The sequence below is a fragment of the Homo sapiens genome, chromosome 1 (genome assembly GCF_000001405.40).
Source record: "Homo sapiens chromosome 1, GRCh38.p14 Primary Assembly".
Taxonomy (NCBI): domain Eukaryota; kingdom Metazoa; phylum Chordata; class Mammalia; order Primates; family Hominidae; genus Homo; species Homo sapiens.
In genome coordinates this window covers 201,140,181-201,159,549 of record NC_000001.11, presented here as the reverse complement: position 1 = coordinate 201,159,549, position 19,369 = coordinate 201,140,181, and the positions used below count along the sequence as shown (strand labels likewise).

Here is a 19,369-nt window from a genome sequence, read left to right as displayed (position 1 = left end):
TGCTTTAGTCAAGTGGTGTTGAGAGAGCTGTGTGTGTGTGTGTGTGTGTGTGTGTGTGTGTGTGTATAAAAAGGCAAATGTGGGGACCCCAGCCAAAAACAGCGTGCTTGTCCAGGGCCTTGCCCAGCTAGAAAAGGGTACTACACAGCAGGGCGCTCTCTGCCCTTAGCTCAGTGCCCCCATTTCCCTGATGCCTGAGAAATCCTGCTGTGGCCAGAGAGGTAAGAGGTACTCAGGTATCTGAGGATGGTGCCCATACTATTTTAAGGACATCGTCAGGCACCTGACCTGCCATCTGTGGCTAGAGGGCAATGTCCTATAAGAGGTGGGTCAAGCGCTCCTTTGTACCCCCACATTACTGCCCCTTTGAGAGTGTTAACACATATCTGTATTCTATCACTTGAGCTTTGTTCTCTGTTTAGGTTGGATGATCTTTTAGTGTGTCTAAGACATGGTTGCTAATGCAAAAATTAGGAAGTCAATCATCTCATAGGAGCTTGAGGTTATGAGACACTGGACAGATAAGCTTCAGTGGGGATTAGAGGAAAAGCAGGGGCATATAGTTGATGCCAGGGAGAGTAGACACCATTTGGGAGTGATGACAGCACTCATCCCCTATCCAGGAGCACCAACGGTAGGGACAGGGAGTGAGGAAGAACCCAGACCCACAGCTGTGGCACGGATGCCAAGACCTCGCCTCATAAAGTCAAACTGATTTTAGGGTTGTTGGATAAAAGCAGGTATGAACTAGAGGGTATGGGTTTTGGCCTGAGTTCTAGAGCTCCAAACTTGGAGGCAGGATGAAGGCTAAGTCCTGAGAGGAAGCAGTGGAAGGCTCCAGAGCTTCCTTAGGCCTCCTCTGCTGGGGAGAGTGCACTGCTGATGTTACCTGGTCTCCACCCTCTCACTGAGCCCCGAGCCAGGGGCTCCCGGCTCCCTCCTGGCTCACATTCTGACTCTGATGTCACTGAGCTCCCTGCCTTCCTTTCCCATTCGCTTGTCCTGGGATCAAGACAAACTGAACTGTTGACTCTTTCTCTACATGTCTCTCCCTGAACTTCCCCAGTCCCATCTCTTTGCTCTCCCTACACTGCCCCTGCCCCCGCCCCCACCCCCCACCAGAATGCCCTCCTCACCATCACCCTGCTCTTGAATTGTGCCTCAAATTTTGCCCACCCTTCCTGGCAGTATTTGTTTCCCATGGCTGCTGTCACAAATTACCATAAACCTGGTGGCTTCAAACAACACGAATGTATTATCTGACAGCTCTGTAGGCCATAAGTCTGACGGAGGTGTTCTCTTGAACTAAAATCAGGGTGTCTACAGGGCTGCATTCCTTCTAGAAGCTCTAGGGAAGAATGCATTGGCTGGCCTTGACCAGCTTCTGCAGCACCCACAGTCCTTGCCTGGTGGCCCCCTGCCTGCATCTTTGAAGCCAGCAGCATAGCATCTCTCTGACCCTACTTCCATGTCCATCTCCTTCTCTAACCACAGCCAGAAAAGGTTCCTCTGTTAAGGAGCCATCTAATTAGATTGGGCCCACCTGAATAATCCAAGCCACTCTCCCCAACCAAGGGCCTTAATTTATATTTGCAAAGTGCCTTTTACTGTGTAAGACAGTATTCACAAGTTCCAGGGATTAGGATGTGGACATTTGGGGGTGCGACATTGTTCTGCCCACCACTCTGGCCCAGCCCAAGTAGCCCTCACTGCCCTCAAAGCCCCCTCTCCACCATTCTGGGCTCCCCTGGCCCTTGGTCTAGGTTTCCCAAGTGCCTCTGCAGCCTTCCCCCAGCACAGCTCTTACCACCCTGAATTGTCATTGCTTGTTGATTTGTGGTTTTCTTGCAATAAACTTCAAGTTCTGTGGGAACAGGGACAGGGTTTGTCTTGTTTACTGAGATATCCCCAGCACCTAGCACAGTGCTCAAAAAATTTTTGAAGGGAAAAAGCATTTCTGATACGGGAGATAGAAATTATTTAGGCAGATAGCAAGGACAAAAAAGTCCTTGGCAGAACTTCCCTTCTAATAAGAAGCAGCCCTAGAAATCATTTCTTTTCTAACACAGAGCAGCCTCAAAGATTGGGCTGCAAACATATATAAGGAAGCTGGAAGCTTGCACGGAGGAATGCTGGCAGCTGCACTCATAGAAAAGGGCTACCGGGGGGCCAGGCATGTTCACCATGGGACTCCACCTTCCCTTTTTTGTTAGCACATGTACAGTAAGAAAGAACTGGGCAACATGGAGAAGCTCAGGCAGAGAAACCACCTGCATAATAAAGATTGGGCTGGGAGCTGCCAGAGATTTGTGCCCTATGCAGATGGCACACCTGGTGCTAACTTTTTTTGAGATGCCCTGTATAGATGAGATACTGCCTCCCCACTAGCTCATCTATAAAACCCCCTGCATTTCACCTTAAATTGGCAACTCATTTTTCCAGGACCCCTCTCTGTAGCAGAGAGCTATTGTCTTTCTTTCACCTATTAAATTTCCACTCTTAACCTCACTCTTTGTGTGTCTACCTCCTTGATCTTCATGGCCAGGAGACAACAAACCTCAAGTGTCACCACAGACAACAAGGCTGCTTCACTTCTACAACACATCACTTTCTATGTTACATTCTGACCATGTGATTGGTCTGCTATTAGGTTGTGCATTACTTGAAAGCAGAGTTGCATGTGATTTGTCTGTTGTATCCCTGGGGTACCTAGCATCTGTGAGCCCTGGAGTTTGGCTCACAGATAGTGCTTGGCACATGTTTATGGAATTAAATTTAATGAATAGGTTCAGACTCACTTCACTGGCATGGCTCATAAACACAGGGCACATGGAGGATGTATGGGAATGAGGTGCCCTGGGTCAGGTAGGACTATTTGGGAAAAGCTTCTGCAAGGCAAATGCTTGGGCAAAGATTTGAATAAGATGAAAGATAACGACTGGCAGTGCTGGGGGTGATAATGTCCTATGGAGGACTGCAATGAGCAAAGTCAGATATAGGGACAGCCGGTGGGGGGAGTAACCAGTGATGAGATGGGGTGGGGAAGTGCAGAAATGGTAACCACTTGGCTTGGTTGCCAAGTGGAGGGGTCTGAATTGGATGCAACAGGGTGCTTGCTACCAGGGATTGAGCAATGAGCGATGTGCTGAAAACAGAATTGGAGGAAGACAGGATGGACCTAGGAGCACACAGGAAGGGAGTGCATTTCAGGGAGCAGAATGCTAGCCGAGGAAAGATACAGGCAGGGTGATGATAGCTACCTCCTGGGGACACCTGGATAGACAAGATGTGGAAATATGAGAGAGGAGTCAAAGATAGTTTGATGCCACAATCTAGGACCTGCAGAAATGCAGAATGACAGTGGAAGGCCTCCCTTCTGTTTGATGAGGAAGATGGTGAGCTCAGCATTGGGTATCTTTAGTGTTGTGTGTCAGAGGGTCATCCATTGGAGGTGACAGACTCAGCCCCATGCTTTTGTCCCCATGAAAGTCCCACCTTCATATGGAACGTATATGGGGGGAAGAAGTGTCTTTTTCCAGTACTTGAACTATCCCTTCTGCCCCCACGAGGTAGGCATTCTGTCTCTGCCTGAGCTTGCTCACCAAAGCAGCCATTCTGACCTCCACAATGAGCTAACATTGCCATTTATAGAGCCTCCCTCTTTGTGTCAGATGCTGTTCTAGGTGCTTTGCATATGTAAACTCATTATATCCCTACAACCACCTTGAAAATTTGGTAATATTAATCCCATTTTATGGGCATGGAAACCGAGACTTCTGAAAGGATTCCAAAGACTTCCAAAGATCCAAAGGCGGTGTCCTAAAGGAAACCACCCAAATTCACACAACTAGGAAGGGAGGAACCAGGATTCCTGCCCTGGTCACTCTAGCTCCAAAGCCCCTGACCTTTGCATCACACTGCAGGCCTCCTGCCCCTGCCCCCTGCCAACTAGATTTAATTTAATTCTATAGAATTCAGTTTAGCAAACACTTCCTGAGCACCTACCAAACACAGGTCACTCTGCCAGGTGGCAAGGATATAAAGAGGAATAAGACATAAGCATAGGAGAGAGGAACACAAACTCAGTGGCCTCCAGATAAGTGCCCACCTCAGTTCACAGGGCCTGCGAGGGGCTTGATTCCACCTGGACCCAGCCCCTATGCTAATCCAGCCACCAACCTCAAGTTTGGGCCATATTGATACCCCTCCCACCCACCCCTAAGGAATCCCAACATATCAAAGCTGAAGGGGATCTTAGAATCCAACCGAATCATTTTACAGATAAGGGAAGTAAGGGAAGCTGAGGCCCAGAGAAGGGAGGTATCTTTTCCAGGCTAACACAGCTGCTTAGGGGGAGCGCCAGGGCCAAAGCCCCGGTGTCCTCACTCCGGGTCTGGTGCCCTGAATTCATATGACTCCCCTTTCCTTCACAGCTGGCAAGAAGTTCACATCTGCCACATAGCAGCCAGGGACCCTCACCCCTGCATCCTGGCCATGCACACTTTGCCCCATTTTGCCAGGCCCAGCACCAGCATGGGGTAGGGGGATCAGGCTGAGGACGCTGTTGTGCACACTCTTCACAGGCCCAGCCCACACCACCCATCGCCAACCCTAGATTTCTCCTTCTCAGAGGTGTGTGTAGGGGTAGAGACGTTGCCGCGCAGAAAGTCTTCTGCAGCAAAGACGTGGATCCCTAAATAACATTTCCAGATTTTGAATGAGGACAAAGCCCTTCAATCTCGTATCGTTTTTGTTGACGTTACTAGCTTACAGTGTATAAAGCGCTTTCTTTCTAAAACAGCAAGATGAAACAAGCTGAGTTTTATAATACAAGGAAGGGAGAAGCACCGCAGTGGGAGTTCTCAGGCCACACAAAGGCAAGACCCTTCCCCAGGAGTTTGGAAGGCTGACGTTCCCTTTTCTGGTTTGGTCGGGTTTGAGAAATGCCCGCCTCTCCCTTGCGCAAGAGTCTCCCCGCCCAGGTGAAGGCGGGTCTTGTTGCCATGGCGACAGCGCGGTCGGGTTAAGGGGCTGCTCTGGCAACCAATAGAAGCTAGGAGAGGGCGGGGACAACTGGGTCTTTTGCGGCTGCAGCGGGCTTGTAGGTTCGTGGACGCGGCATTGGGGGAGGGGACGGGGGTCGCGGGGCTATTGGGGGTCCCAGTCCGGCTTAAGACCTCTGGGCGTGGTGGGCACCGGCCTTCGCCGTCGGAGCAGGGGTCCCAGACTCGCACCCAAAAGTTCCCGTCGGGCCCGAGCGGGGAGGAGCTGCGGGGCGGGCAGAGGCGGAGATGGCGGAGGGCGGTGGGACGTGATGCGCGGGTCAGAGCCGGGCCTTGAGAAGGAACTGGAGGCCCCTGGCAGCGGTGTCCCCTCGAGGACCCCTCTGCCGGGCTCACCAGGTGGCTGGCGGAGAGCCGGAGAGTTGGGCGGGAGGGAAGCAGGGTTTGGCGACCAGGTTTAGCAGGCCTTGGAATCCTGGAGCCCAGCCCCCAACCCCATTCCCACTTGGCCGGATGGTTAAGGGCCTAGCGTGCTGGCTGCGGTGTGGCCACCTTCCCCTTCTCCGACTCCGTATCTCTTTTTCCAGGTGTCCGGCTTTGCTGGCCCAGCAAGCCTGATAAGCATGAAGCTCTTATCTTTGGTGGCTGTGGTCGGGTGTTTGCTGGTGCCCCCAGCTGAAGCCAACAAGGTGAGGGAGGTGAGCCTGCAGCACCTGGTCACGACCACAGTGCACGGCCACCCTGTCTACAGGGCTGACTCAGAGGTAGCCAGCTGCTCCTTAAGCCTGCCTCTCACTCACCTATGGGCCATACTTCTTTTAGTGGTCTTCCTTCAGGTTCAAGGCTGCTGGCCTCCCTAAGGATAGTGCGGGTGAGGAGTGAGGAAGGGTGGGGCACAGAGCACTGGCTCACTCTGATCAGACAGATCAGTGGTGGACTTCCAGCAAGGAAGTTTGGAGAAGTTATCTAAGTTCTCCATACCTTCCTTTGCTTTGGACCAAAGTATGTTTTGTTTCAGATATTTTTGGATTTGGGAGTATTTGCACATAAAAAATGAGCTATCTTGGGGAGGGGACCTAAGTCTAAACCTGAAGTTCGTTTATGTTTCATATATGCTGTATATACATAGCCCGAAGGTAATTTTATACAATATTTTCAATAATTGTGTGCATGAAACAAAGTTTATCTACACTGAACCATCAGAAAGCAAAGGCGTCACTATCTCAGGCACCCATGTGGATAGTCTGGTTGGTTGGCATCACCACCATTCCTGACAATGAATTTATATGCTACCGATAAATATTTTCTTACGTTACACATAAGTTCTTAACGGTAAAAAAATATGATGTACTATTAACACAGTGAAAATAAATGATGTGTTCAGGGTAACTAAGCACAGTAGCATCACCAGAATACCTGTATCAGCTGTTAGACACAGCAACATAAGGCTTTCTGTCTCCTGCTGTGATGCTGTGTTTTGATTAAAGGTTACTGTGCACAGTATTTTTTTAGGTGAGAAGTAGTATCTGAAGCAGTAGAGGGACCAGAAAGTGGGTCCTCTAGAGATGAGGAGGCATTCTGCCAGATGGCTTTTAAAAATGTTTTTGCCAGTCACCTGATTCATTAACAAGCTTTTGTCTTAGAAGTCTCTTTGATTTTATAGACTGACACGATTTCTTGTTCTGTTATGAATGCGCTCTGCTATAGTCTTTCAAGAAGCCCGTCACTCATTGTTACCATGTCTGTAGGTGCTTTTCTGCAATGTTAACATCATCTTTGTGGTCATGTCTGTGCTTAACAAGTTTTAGATTGGGAGCATTTCGAATTTTTGTTTTAGGGGTGCTAGTACTACCACCTGTAGTAGCAGTTGTATCTATTACTCTGCTTAGGGAGAATCAAATTACATGACAATGTAAAAATGCCCTGTAAGTGTAAAGTCCTATACAGTTTGAAGTTTCCATTATTAAGGGTGACCCACCTAAGTTCTGGGACTCCTGAGATAACTTCCATTCTTTATTGCTACATTCCTGTGGAGCTGTTTGGGTAGATCTATGGAACTAAAGATCATCCAGACTTTGAAGTAAGGTTAAGGCTGAGAGTTTGTTTCCATTCTCTCCTCAGAAATCCTAATTAGTAAAGACATTTATGGTGATATCTCTTACTCATTCCAGAAGGGAAGAACTTTCAAAGGGGTTGCTTGAGTATTCCCACAGAAATGATCCACTTTTTCTTATTCACCCTCGCCCTTTATGTTTCCCCAATCCTACCTAAGAAGTTGGAGAAGGAATGTGGGGAAGAGGGTGGCTGCCAAGTCCACTGGACAGAGGTGCACACACAAGTGTGGGGTCTGGGGTAGAGGACACACACACACACACACACACACACCCATTTCCCCTCATCCCTCTCCCCGCATTCCTCTAAGTACCTGCTTTGGGACTGGCAGGCCTAGACAACTTTCTGTGAGTCTCATTTGCCATCTGGACATTTTTCTATCTTTAGGACCCGGTGCTGCAGCTTGCTTCCTACAGTGGCAGTCCTTGCTGGATTTGAACTTGGGGATGGAGAAAGCTCAAGAGCATAGATATGGTTCACCTAACAGGATGGGGAACAGAAAGTTGACAACCTTGCTAGAGCCTGAACCCCCTGAACCCCAGGCAGGGTCTCTGCATACTTGACATGTGCTTTCTTTTCCAGAGTTCTGAAGATATCCGGTGCAAATGCATCTGTCCACCTTATAGAAACATCAGTGGGCACATTTACAACCAGAATGTATCCCAGAAGGACTGGTAAGGCATTACACGCAGGCCCCTGGCTGCTATACCCAGTTGAAGTTATGGGTGTTTACTAGAGTTCTTGGACCCTGGAGGATAAGCATGCTCTCCCATTCCTATGGAGAGCCTTTCAAAGGAGTAATTATTCATGTCACAGAACCAATTTCATAGTTGTCAACTGTCTGTGGAAACAGGATCCAGGTGTCTGAATTCCAGCTGAGTGGTCCCTGGCTAGAGGAGTGGATTTTGTTGTTTTGCTTTGAATATTGGTCTTTAGTGATGCATACAGAATAGTAGTAGAGAAGTTGGCAAAGGTAGGTATTCTGACCACATGCTGTAGGATACCTAATGCTTTTGCAAAGCTGTGTTACATGTGTTATTCTGTGCCAGTCTTATAGCATCCTTGTAAAGTAGGTGGGATGGATTTTGCTCCCATTTTATAATAGCAGAGACAGAGGCCCAAAGAAATAATTTAGAGTGTTGAATTCATTTCTGGGTACCTCACTTTTAAAAAGAGAAGAATAACCCAGAATTCATTCAGAGAAAGGAGACTAGTGCGGTGAAGGGAAGTTTTAGCACATTGTCCTGGAAGGAATGGTTTAAGGAAGCAAGGAAAGCCTAAAGAGGAGAGGACTTGGGGACACACGATGATTGATTGAAAGCTGGCATGTTATGGGAGGTGGGACATGTGGGAGCAGGTACTGGTGTGGATCAGTTATGTTCAGTGGGGTTTCTTGGTGTAGAGTTGGGGCCAAGGATAAAAGCTTCAGGGAAACCGACTTAAGCATGAGTTGAGGGAGCATTTCTAATCTAGGCAGTTTTGGGAGCCAGGAAGCTCCGTTCTTGGAGGGCCCCGAGCACAGATGGGCTGAGGTCACTGTAGAAGAGATCAACATCAGATGAGAGGTCCGGGTCAGTGCTGCCTCTCCTGCTTTCTCAAAGCAGATGAGCTTTGAGAAAATACACATTTCCAGTACCACCACCACTGCTCGATTTTGATTCTTCAAATACGGAGTGAGGGTGAGGGGAGGCAGTAACCTTTCTTTCCTTTGGTGCTTAGGATGCAGTTGATCCAGAGCAACACTCGAGAATTTTGAAACTAGTTGAATTTCCAACTCTGAGACTGTCGGTGATTTTCTGAGAGGCAGTCTAGTTAGATAGACAGACTCTGTGTTCCACCTTCCTGACTTCAAATTTAGCTTAGCTGCTTGTTAATTGTGTGACAAATTACTTAATCTCCACTGCACTTTGATTTCCTTATCTATAAATAGTGGCAGTATTTTCTGTGTTAAGTATGTACGTGTTTGTGTGTGTGTTGTGCGTGTATGTGCACAGGTCAGTAACTATAGCACTTAGAACAATACCTGGCACACAGTAAATGCTTATATAAATGTTAGCTGATATTAATGTATATTATCATGCCTTACTGGTGGCCACATAGATAGTCATGGTCAAACTTACACCACAGACTGAGAAAATGGGCTCCTCCTGAAGCACTAGCCTTCTACTTAGGAGAATTCCAAGTAACCCCCTTGTATCTTGTGGTTATAGTTCAAATAGCATCAGTAAAAACTTAGATGGGCTGTCTTAGCCCTTCACCAGATAACAAGGCTATATCCCAAACTCCTTATGCAGGCAGACACTTGCAAATTTAGGAACACTCTCTCTGTCCTGGAGCTATAGATGGCCTGAAAACCCAAGGTTGGATGCCTGCAGAGGACGGAGTCCTGTCTAGACCTCTCAGGCTGTAGTTTATCTCCTTCTTCCCCTCAGAAGTCAGAATTAAGGGGCTGCTTGATGAATAGCCTTACATCAGGAACCTCAGGGCAGCTCCATTAAGGGTGGTGGGTGTAAACTGAGGCTGGAGGAAAGACTCCAGGATTCTAGGACCCAGTGACACTGACCTTGACTGGGAGTCATCCTGTGCTTGCCTGGAGCCTCTTAAGGGTAGGGTGGGGCCTTGACATTGATCTGAGTACCTCAGTGCTAGGGTTAGAGGAGGCCAGTTTGAGTGGGTCTTCTGGTCTCTGCCACATTTTCACTTTGCTGTCACGTTGGTCCATGCTAAAGAACACTTGCACCCTTCTCCTTGGTTGTGCAGAGTAAAGCCAGAATCATCTGACATGCGGTCCTCAGGTTTAATGGCCAAGCCATGTATGTTCCTGTGTTTACAGGTATCCTGCCACCTAGTGTTGAGAGATTATGACCATATGTGCATAAAAAGGCAAAAACCCCAGCTTTGCCCCATTGGTGGGTCCGGCAAGGAGATGTGTTATTAGAGACACTCCCAGAGCAGGAAAGCACTGAATAAGTTGGCTAGTTCCTTGCCTTTCAAACTTGTTAAAATAGAACTTCTCTGCAAACAAAATCCGTTTTGGAAACAAAATCTATAAAACATAAAAGTCGGAATTGCTCTGCCTGAGAGGGAACTGTCCCTCAGCCCCTCCCTGACTACCACCCCACCGTACAGTGGTTCCTGTGGGTCCCAAAAGAGTACAGTTTGAAAGACACTGACCAAGTTCAGTCTCCATTTATAAATGAGGGAACCGAGGCCTGGAGAAGTTAAATAAATTGCCCCCAATCACAGGAGAGTTGGAGACAGCAGAACTATTTCAGCTCCTTATTGCTGTTCCCCTGGGTAGCAAGATCCCACATTGAAGAACTCAGGTCGCCCTTCCAAACTGCCCCTGACACCTTGGCCTTGTGAGAAATCCATAGATTCCACTGCAATACTGGTATGACCTTCTAGACCCAGGACCCAGTGTAGCTCAGGTAAGGGAGGAATCTGGAGGCTTGTAGAGACTTCCTGGAGAAGGGAAGATGGCATTGCCTCTGGACAGGAATGGCAGCCAAGTGCCCTGGGTGACCCTTTTTCCGCTGCTCCCAGCGGAAGCAGCATGCAAGGCCTGAAAGCAGTACTTCCGGTTACAACAGGGGAGACCTGCTCAGAGCAGGGAATAACATGTTGGACACAGAGGTGGAACTGGATCATGAAAGGTTTAGATAAACTCATGTATGCCACATATGGCTTTTTGGGAGAACAGAGTCCTTTAGAGCACATCCCATTCTTAATCCAACACATGGTCTTTATATCACACACCCTTGATGCTTCTGCCAGAAACCCAGCCCTGTAGCTCAGAAGGGAGCTATGCTTGACTCTTGCAGGACTCCTGTCAGAGCTGGAAGGGCCTTTTAAAGATTATCCGGTGCAACCGCTTTATCTCAAAGAGAAGAGAACGGGCCCAGGGTATAGACACTTGGTGGCAGAGCCAGGACAGAGCCCAGGTGCATTGCAGCATGACACCTGCTTCACCTCTGCACACCTCCAAGGGGTTTGGATTTTTCCATTGGTAGTAATGAAGGTGCATTCTGTAGAGTTTTTTGCTTTGTCAGTGTGGTCCCTGAACCAAACAGGTTGGAACCATGCTGATCTGAGGAAGGCTGGGAATGAGAGGCCTGAGACAAGCCAGGTACCAGCCCAGGCCCCACTGAGGCTGAGTCAGAAGTAAAGACCTGTGGCTGAGGGTCTAGATTTGGGTTCTGGCCTCACTACCACTATGGAGATGCCACTTTGCCTCCTAAGCCTCTTTCCCTGTTTTTAGATGTGGAACCTATGATCTTTATCCCACCTTACGCAAGAGTGCTGTTAGATGAAAGTGGGTCTACTCTTCCTTTGGGAATCATGTAGTTACTAAGCCTGCTCTGGCCAGCACCCAGCTAGGTACTGGGAATATGGAGATGTATAAGACATAACCCTGTGTTCAAGGAACGTACATCTCCTGGGGAGACAGCACGAATAAAGATTGGATTACAATGCAGTGCATTGGCGGGGGGTTGGGGGGAGCTGGCTATTGGGCACAGGTGGCTAAGCTGAGAGTTAAAAGATGAGGTGGCAAAGCCATGCCCTCCTGGTGAGAGTGTGGGTGTGGCTCCTTCAGAGAGCAGCCTGGCAGATCCGTGTGGCTGGAGGTTGGGAAAGTGGGTGAGGGAGGCGTAGCAAGAGATGGAACTGGAGTGAGGTGGGTTGGGACCCCTGGCAGAGCAATTGAGTTAGCATTGGCCCTAGGGGCTCTGTGGAGGCACTGACCGGGCCTAAGCTGGGGAATGACATGACCAGAGTTGCATTCTGGAAAACCACTTGGCTGCCGTGGGAAGGTAGTATGTGTTAGAAAGGCCAAACTCGAGGCAGGAGGGCAGCGCGGAGGCTGGTGCGGTTGTCCGAGGAAGATAGGATGAGGGCCTCAGCTAAGACACAGCAGTGGGAGAGAATAAAGGAGATGGATTCTAGGAATTTTTAGGGAAGTAAAATCACTGGCCTTTGGTGATTTTACTTAGATGAGAGGAAGGCAGTGTCAAAGATGATTTCCAGGGTTTGACCCGGACAGTGAAGTGGACGGTAGAAGTGTTCTCTCTGCCATTGCAAATGGGGAGCCAGTTTGCAGGAGTAGGGAGTTGAGGGCAAAGGGTGTGCAGGGGCGGGTGTAGAGTTCATGGTCTCTATGGGACATGCACATAGTGACTCCTGTAGCTCATAGAGGAGAGCGGCCCTGGCTGGAGATTCTGATCTAAGATCCGTCAGCTTCTGAGTTGAACCTTTGGGACAGATGAGCACATGCCGGGAGAACATAGCATGAGATGAGGAAGGCGGCTGGGGGTAGAACCCTGGGAACGTTGATGGTTTTGGAGCCAGCCCTGTAGGCAGTTTGGAGAGCTGGTTTTGATGTGTAAGGGGCATGGGCTGTGAGGCTGTGGGTTAGGAAGGGTTTCTGCCAGCCTAATCCTTTATAAGCCCTTGGCCCTCTCTGGGAGCACCCTTCACCTTTGCCTAGCCCCTACCTCTCAGCTCCCCTGGCTACCTGCTTCTCTGGTCTTGAGGCTCTAAGACGTGGTGGCCCTGCCTCGACAGCCCTGTCTCTCTCTGTTGTAGCAACTGCCTGCACGTGGTGGAGCCCATGCCAGTGCCTGGCCATGACGTGGAGGCCTACTGCCTGCTGTGCGAGTGCAGGTACGAGGAGCGCAGCACCACCACCATCAAGGTAACGCCAGGGTCTCAGGAAGCCAGTGGGATTCCCACACGCCATTCTCCAATCGCAGACTGGCCTACACCCACAGTTTTTCACTTTATTCTGGAATGTCCCAATGGCTATGAGACTGGCTTCTAGGCTGGCCTAGTGCAGACACTGGGACCCACATCCCACACCTTCCTGGAGCCAGCTCCCTTCTCTGCTCTCTTTCCAGTAGTTACCATTACAGTGAGAGGGGAGAGCCCTGGGAGAGCTGCTGGAGACTCCTTTTTCCCTGCATTCTTTACAGTTTATTTCGTTCCTCTCCCTTCTTCTATTCATCCAGTAAATCTCTTTTCGGTGCCTGCTATATTCTGGGCAAGATGCTGCCAATGGGGAGGTTGGGCTGCCCTCCTGGAGCTTAGTCTAATTAAGCTTCCAAAGTGACTAAGCTCCTCTAAAAAGCATCAGAGCTGTGGACTAGGGCTGGGTGTTGGGTGCTGGGAGAACATCAGATTGGTTCTTTTGTGTTTTCCTGAACCACCTTCTCATTGATCATTTGGGTGAATTCAGGAAAGAGATGATAGACACAGTCACCACCATAGACGTCACGAGGTGTCTGTTCATTCCTGCACCAGGCAGAACTTCCCGTGTCTTCTAGAGGCTGTGAAGCCGCCCTAGCAGAGACCGTCATGACCCCCAGCCCCCCAGTGCGGCTTCCTAGTCCAGGTTCTAACAATCCTGGGCCAGGCACCTGGCACACACAGTACTCACTGATTACATAGCCATTTCTTTTTTTGTTTGTTTTTTAGAGACTGGGTCTGACTCTGTTGCCTATGCTGTAGTCCAGTGGCACGATCACAGCTCACTGCAGCTCTGACCTCCCAGGCCCATGCAACCCTCCCACCTCAGCCTCCTGATTAGCTAGGACCACAGGTGCACATCACCACACCCAGCTAATTTTTTAAATTTTTGGTAGAGACAGGGTCTCACTGTCTTGCCCAGGCTTGTCTCGAACTCCTGGCCTCAAGCACTGCTCCAGCCTTGGCTTCCCGAAGTGCTGGGATTATAGGTGTGAGCTCCATGCCTGGCCTAATGTAGCCCTTTCTGTTCCAGTTTGTAGCATTTTTCTGCTTGTCCTTTGAAGAGTCTATAAATAGCATTGGAAAATAATTCTCATATTTAAAGGCACTGCTGGGTCCTCCATCAGGTTTCTCCTTTCGAGGCACATTTAGGGGGCGGTGGTCTTCACTGCTGTCCTTCCTGCCTATTCCAGGGAGCCCTGTGCTGTAGCTCCTCTGTGTTCTCACCACTCAGGGAAAAAGCAGCTGTCTGTCCTTCACTCCCAGCCAGTGCCCTGTGCAGACCCAACTCCTTTCATCCACCTGAGGCAGCCCCTCCTGCAACTGTCATTCTCCTTCTCTGAACTTGCTCCAGTGGGCCTCACCCTCCAGGGACCAGATGCCTGAGACCTGAAATTCAGAGCCAGATGTCACCGCTGCTCCCTGTTTGGCCGGGAGGGAACTTCCTGGCATGGGGACCTCATCAGATACAACTTCCTAATCCCTCGTGTTTCCCCCAGTCCTCCTACCTAGGAGGCTCCCCTCAACTTCAGCCTATTGAAGACCCAGCCTCTGTTCTCCTTCCGCCTTCCTGGGGTACAGGTGAGGTCTGATTATTTGCCCTGTTTAAACAGGCGTGAACGCGGTGCCCCAATCAGGTGGGACATTGGTCCAGTGGAACTTGGCTATTGGCTGAGCGGGGCACCCAGCTTGAAAGTCCTGAGGTTCTTTTTTTCACTCTTCTTCACAGTCTAGGTAGGGCAGGGCTGAGATCAGAAGCCGGCAATGGCCAGGCATTGTGGAATTAGGAAAAGCATTTGAGAGGGAGTCAGCAAGTCTGGGTTTGAGTCACACCTCCACCATCTGGTAGCCTTGGGATCACAGGTGATCTAGCCCAGCAGTTCTCAATCAGATGATTACAGCCCCCCCAGGGGGCATTTAGAGGTGGGTGAAGGTGCTTTTGTGGTCCCAATAACAGGTGTATTACCAACACTGTTACAGGGACCATGGATGCTAAATGTCCCACCCAAAATCCCAGAGCACCCACATTGAGAAACATTGAATTTGCCTCATTAAATCTGTCTTTTCTGTAAAAACAAAATGACTCCAGCTTGTGAAGCACTGTGTATGTAAGAGATTCGTGGAGTTGTTGTTCTACCCTTGGCTTTCCCCTCCCTGCAGAGGGGCTGATGGGAGGGCAGGCGTGACCTTCACCCCCAGCACACACCTTCTTACCAGCCCTAGCCACTCTGCTCAGGGGCATGCCATGAGTGGGCCAGCGCGCCCCATCCGTCTTGCTCTCCACAGGAGCAATGAGCCCACCAGCCCAGGTTTACTTTTCCTGGCCCCAGCTTTCCAGCCTCTCCACAGCCTGTTCTTCCTTGCTCTTAGTTTCTGATTGCTTTCCACCCTTCATCATGAACTCTTCTACAGCCAGGGAGGCCCTTGTGTTCCCATCTCTACCCCGGGAGCCTCTCGGCATCAGGCTCCAGACTTCTTCCTCTGTCATCTGCCTGCTGTCGTGATGCCTGCTGTGCAGACTCCCTCAAGTTAGGACAGAGTGCTTCCTCTGTGGAGTAGGGCCCTCCCTTTCCTTTCTGGGCATGCTTTCCCTCTGAGCCCACGTTGCCTCCAAGTCCTTTCTTAGTGCACCACTTGAGGAGTCACTGCCAGCCGGACACAGATGGCCCAAGACTAGCAACGGATTTCTAGCCCTGGCCTCAGATAATGGTTCATAGGCACGCCGGTCTCTTCCTCAGGTCATCATTGTCATCTACCTGTCCGTGGTGGGTGCCCTGTTGCTCTACATGGCCTTCCTGATGCTGGTGGACCCTCTGATCCGAAAGCCGGATGCATATACTGAGCAACTGCACAATGAGGAGGAGAATGAGGTAAGAGGGCTTTGAGTGCCCAGGCCCTGGGTCCCTGCATGTGCGTCCCCAGGGCAAAACCCAGAGGAGCGTCACCTAGGTCCAGGTCCCACCTCCCCAAAATGCTTCAAGTTGCTCTTCTGGTCAGTGTCGTACACATCACCCAGACTCAGCAGGGACCTGCTCTTTGCCCTTCCAGATGAAGCAGGACACCGGGCATCAAGCAGTCTCCATGTACAAGCCGGGGGAGCCATGTCATCCTGCTGTACTGTGCTTCCAGGCAGAGGGGGCGCAGCCAGCCAGAGCCAGTCACACATAGATACACATGATATCCCCCGTGTGCTCAGACATTGGTGACAAGCTGCTGGTGGACTGGACGGCAGCAGGTTAATTTGTTTGTCCAGTGATTCCACAAACATCTGTTGAACACTTGCTCAATGCAAACCAGAGCTCCAGGGTCTGGGGAGAAATGTAGGATTTCAAGAGCGGAAGAGGAATGAGACAGTGGTGCCGGGCAGGGGACATTGCCAAGTATGTGTGAGGAATTTTGAGCGTTGCAAGGATAGGGTAGAGATGTTTGAATAGTGGCAAAGAGAGCTGGCCAGTAGATTTAGGTCACATTATTAAAAGTCCCAAATGTCAAGCTAAGGGGGTTTGGCTTTATCTGACAAGGAAAGTGGGGAACCACTGACCCCAGACAGCCTGCAAGGCCTCCAGGAGTTCATGCAATGGTGGGGAGCTGGCAGGGCTTGGACCAGGCCCAGTGCAGTTAACAAGCGCTGTCACCGTCTTCCCATTCATCCTCATACTAAAAAGTTGTGGACACCATGGCGAGGAAACCCGGGGGGACAGGAGGGCTCAGGTGAAGGGCTCTTCGTGGGAGTGAGACGTGGTGTACCTCCATGCTGAGCAGAGTTGTGATGAGCCCTGCACTCCCCAGGTGGTCTAGGGGAATCTTGCCTGAGTGAGGACTGCACAGCCCCGTGTGCCTCGGGCTCCCCCTTTATGCGCTCATGTACCAGCTAGCTGGGTGCATGAGACAGCAGAGCGGGCTGCTTAGAGGCGTGGAGCCAAGGCAGGCGGGGTTGGCTGCTGCTTCCACTCTGAGCTCTGTCCCCAGGGCCTTGCTGCTGGAAGATACTCCTGTTTATTGACTGATGGAGGGATGCCCTGAGTGAACTCATGCGTATGCATAAGGAATATCTAGTCGGGAAGCGCCTCAGCTAGGCCTCAGAGAATTAGTTGAAGAAACTGAGAGTCATTTAGCTTAAAGGAAAAGAAAAACAACTAAAGGAGACGCATGATAGCTGCCTTCAGAAGTTTGTAGAAGACAGCTTGGCTTCATCCAGGGACAGAGAGATTTAACACAATATGAGGAGGAGGCTGGGAGTCTTCCTGTAGACAGCGTGGTCTAACTATGGGGTAGGTGGGCTGGGCTCCCTTGCAAGACCATGAGCCAGTTCCTCACCAAAAAGAGGACCCAGGGGCTCAAGTCTAAGTGTGAAGCTGCCTGGGTGATGTGGGTCTGGGCCAGCATGAACAGCGAAGAGAAGGGCAGATCAGGGAGGGAGCCTGGCTGCTCTCGAGGGCTGTGTTGCCCCACCCTGCGCACATGCCTGGACTGCTCCCAGTTTGCCCCCAGCCTCCTGCTGACATGAGTTTGGCCGAAGGTGGAGCAGAGGGGATGAGCCTCGCCCCATTGGAGCTAGGGCCTGGGAGGTGGTGGCACTGGCAGTTGGGTGGTCTGTGTTCAAGAGGAAACCTCGTGTGCCTACCTGGTTATTAATGTAGAGTAATAGCAGCTCTGATAGGGGAGGAGCATCGCTAATAAACACTCAGCGATTAGGGGTAATGTGGTAATTGCAGTCCTGGCTGGGGTAGTAATTGAGAGATGCAGCCCAATGATTTCCGTGGAATGCATGGCTCTGGGGCATGGCCTTGTTATGTCTCCTGCCATCCTAGCCAGGGAGCCAGAGGGAGGGCAGCTTGGGGAGAGCAGCTTGCCGTCCCTGGGTATGAACCCAGGTCTCTCTTACCCCCAGGAGACCTGGAGTGCTCCTCATTTGAAGCCTGTTTGTATGAGGGGGCCTTGGGAGGAAGAAGGGCTAGATTTGGTAACTGTGGCAGGACTGCCTGGGAGGACAGTAGGCTGTGATAGGCTGCAGCACATAGAAGCTGGCGAGCCATGCTCCCTCCTGTAGGGGAAGTTGCGGCCCTGGGATGGACAGGATGACACGCCCTCACCTCTCACCTGAGGTTCTAAAAGCTCATAAAAAGTTGTGTTTAATCTCTTTGATACCCTGACCTAGGGTGCAGCCAACTCTCGCTGGTTGTGGCCTGGGGCAGGTAGATCTCATTGGGTGCCCTTGGCTGGGTAAGGAAGTGCCCCCAGTCCCGTTCTTTGGCATCATCTCTCTATCCCCTCACCTCCTGTGATTCTGTGTGGTCTCCAGGTCACAGATGTCTGTGGTTCAGCAACTCTGCTTTTCTCAGTGTATTCAGAAAACCTGCAGGTGGCACAGTGTTGAGATTTGCACAGACCTTATGTCTGCCCTCGGGGGTTTAAGCCCCAAGACGGCCAAAAGCAGGTAAAGCAGCAGGAAACGTAAAGGCTGGCAGTAAGATCTGGCTTCGTAAGACGGGTGGTCAGCTGAAAAGTCAGGTGCCTTGGGAGGCCCCTCTTTACTAGACAAGGGGTCGGAAAGTTACCCTTCTCGTTGTGTTAGTCTGGGAAGGAAGGCTTCCTGGCAGAGGGGGATTTTCAGTGCCCACTCAGGGTGGTTGGGAGAGTGACCGCTGAACTGCAGGGAGGATGAACAGGGCATTGGGGCTGGACAGAACCCAAGGAGCTTGTCTTTACAGAGACTGGGGGCCCTAGTCCTGGACGACGAGGGATAATCTACTGCCCCTCTCAGTGCACAGAGGAAAGGGATGTGGGGAAACATGGGGCTGGGGGGCAGGCATTCAGCTGAGCGGCAGCAGCACCTAGGCTGTAGCCATGTCTCTGGGTTTCACCCCAAGAGGAACAAAGTCAGGACATGGCCTCTTGGGTTCCTTGAAAGTTCGCCTAGGCCTGTACAACTCGATGACTTTAGAAGGAAAATTCTGTCTAGGCTCCAGGAGCTTTCAGGCCCTACGCCCCAGAAGTCTGGGACCCAGTTAGGGGTGAGATCTGGAGGTCAGGGCATTTTTTCAGGGTTAGGGACCCCTTGGTTCCTTCTCCCCAATTCCTGTGACCAGGAGCTCTCCTGCCCAGGGGGTAAAGAACTGGAAGAGGAAGAGGAGGCCTCCCCCTCAGCCTCAGCCCCGTTCATGGAGGGAGATGAAAGCTTGTCATGTTCCCTTTGAAAGCGCTGGCAGAGCCTCAGTAGGCCCTGATTGCTGGGCGCTGCCTCCCCTGGGATTCCAGCAGCATTAGGCATAATCCCTGGGCTCAGACGTCCTTTGAAAGGAGGAAGCAAGCATGTTTGCTGGGGCAGAAACGGCAAACAGAGCTGTTTTAGATGTGCAGGTTGGGCCCTCTTTGAAGAGAGACACATGGTTTCTCTGAGGCTGGGGATGTCGCTGCTCACAGCATGGGCCCAAGCTCTGGAGAGGTCTTCAAAGTGCTCACCCTGCTGGGGCAGTGGGTAGAGTTCTGGGCCCCCTTTGGGAGAGAGT

The 19,369-nt window shown here is 50.7% G+C and overlaps 1 protein-coding gene across 14 annotated transcripts in view, besides 2 other annotated features; it reads left to right on the top strand.

The window, feature by feature from the left end:
- The window catches only part of TMEM9 (transmembrane protein 9), a 36,787-nt gene that overhangs the window by 12,009 nt on the left and 5,409 nt on the right, over nt 1–19,369 (top strand). Inside the window, exons 1-6 of one of the 14 annotated variants that reach the window (NR_109920.2) lie at nt 5,076–5,105; nt 5,591–5,692; nt 7,698–7,789; nt 12,702–12,810; nt 14,215–14,441; nt 15,599–15,730. Coding sequence is in view for 12 of the 14 variants with exons in the window: in NM_001288571.2 (NP_001275500.1) it covers nt 5,627–5,767; nt 7,698–7,789; nt 12,702–12,810; nt 15,599–15,730 (474 nt within the window). In the remaining 2 variants the exon portion in view is untranslated. Of the gene's footprint in view, nt 1–5,075; nt 5,768–7,697; nt 7,790–12,701; nt 12,811–14,214; nt 14,442–15,598; nt 15,731–19,369 lie in introns of those variants that run through there. The other 13 variants (NM_001288569.2, NM_016456.5, NM_001288570.2 and 10 more) reach the window with 13 other exon arrangements.
- Nucleotides 5,000–5,279: a silencer, noted in NCBI's record as "silent region_1687". NCBI's record gives its function as "represses an Ori minimal core promoter by ATAC-STARR-seq in GM12878 lymphoblastoid cells {active_cell/tissue: GM12878}" and the evidence as "EXISTENCE:reporter gene assay evidence [ECO:0000049][PMID:35858748]".
- Nucleotides 5,690–5,839: an enhancer, noted in NCBI's record as "active region_2309". NCBI's record gives its function as "activates an Ori minimal core promoter by ATAC-STARR-seq in GM12878 lymphoblastoid cells {active_cell/tissue: GM12878}" and the evidence as "EXISTENCE:reporter gene assay evidence [ECO:0000049][PMID:35858748]".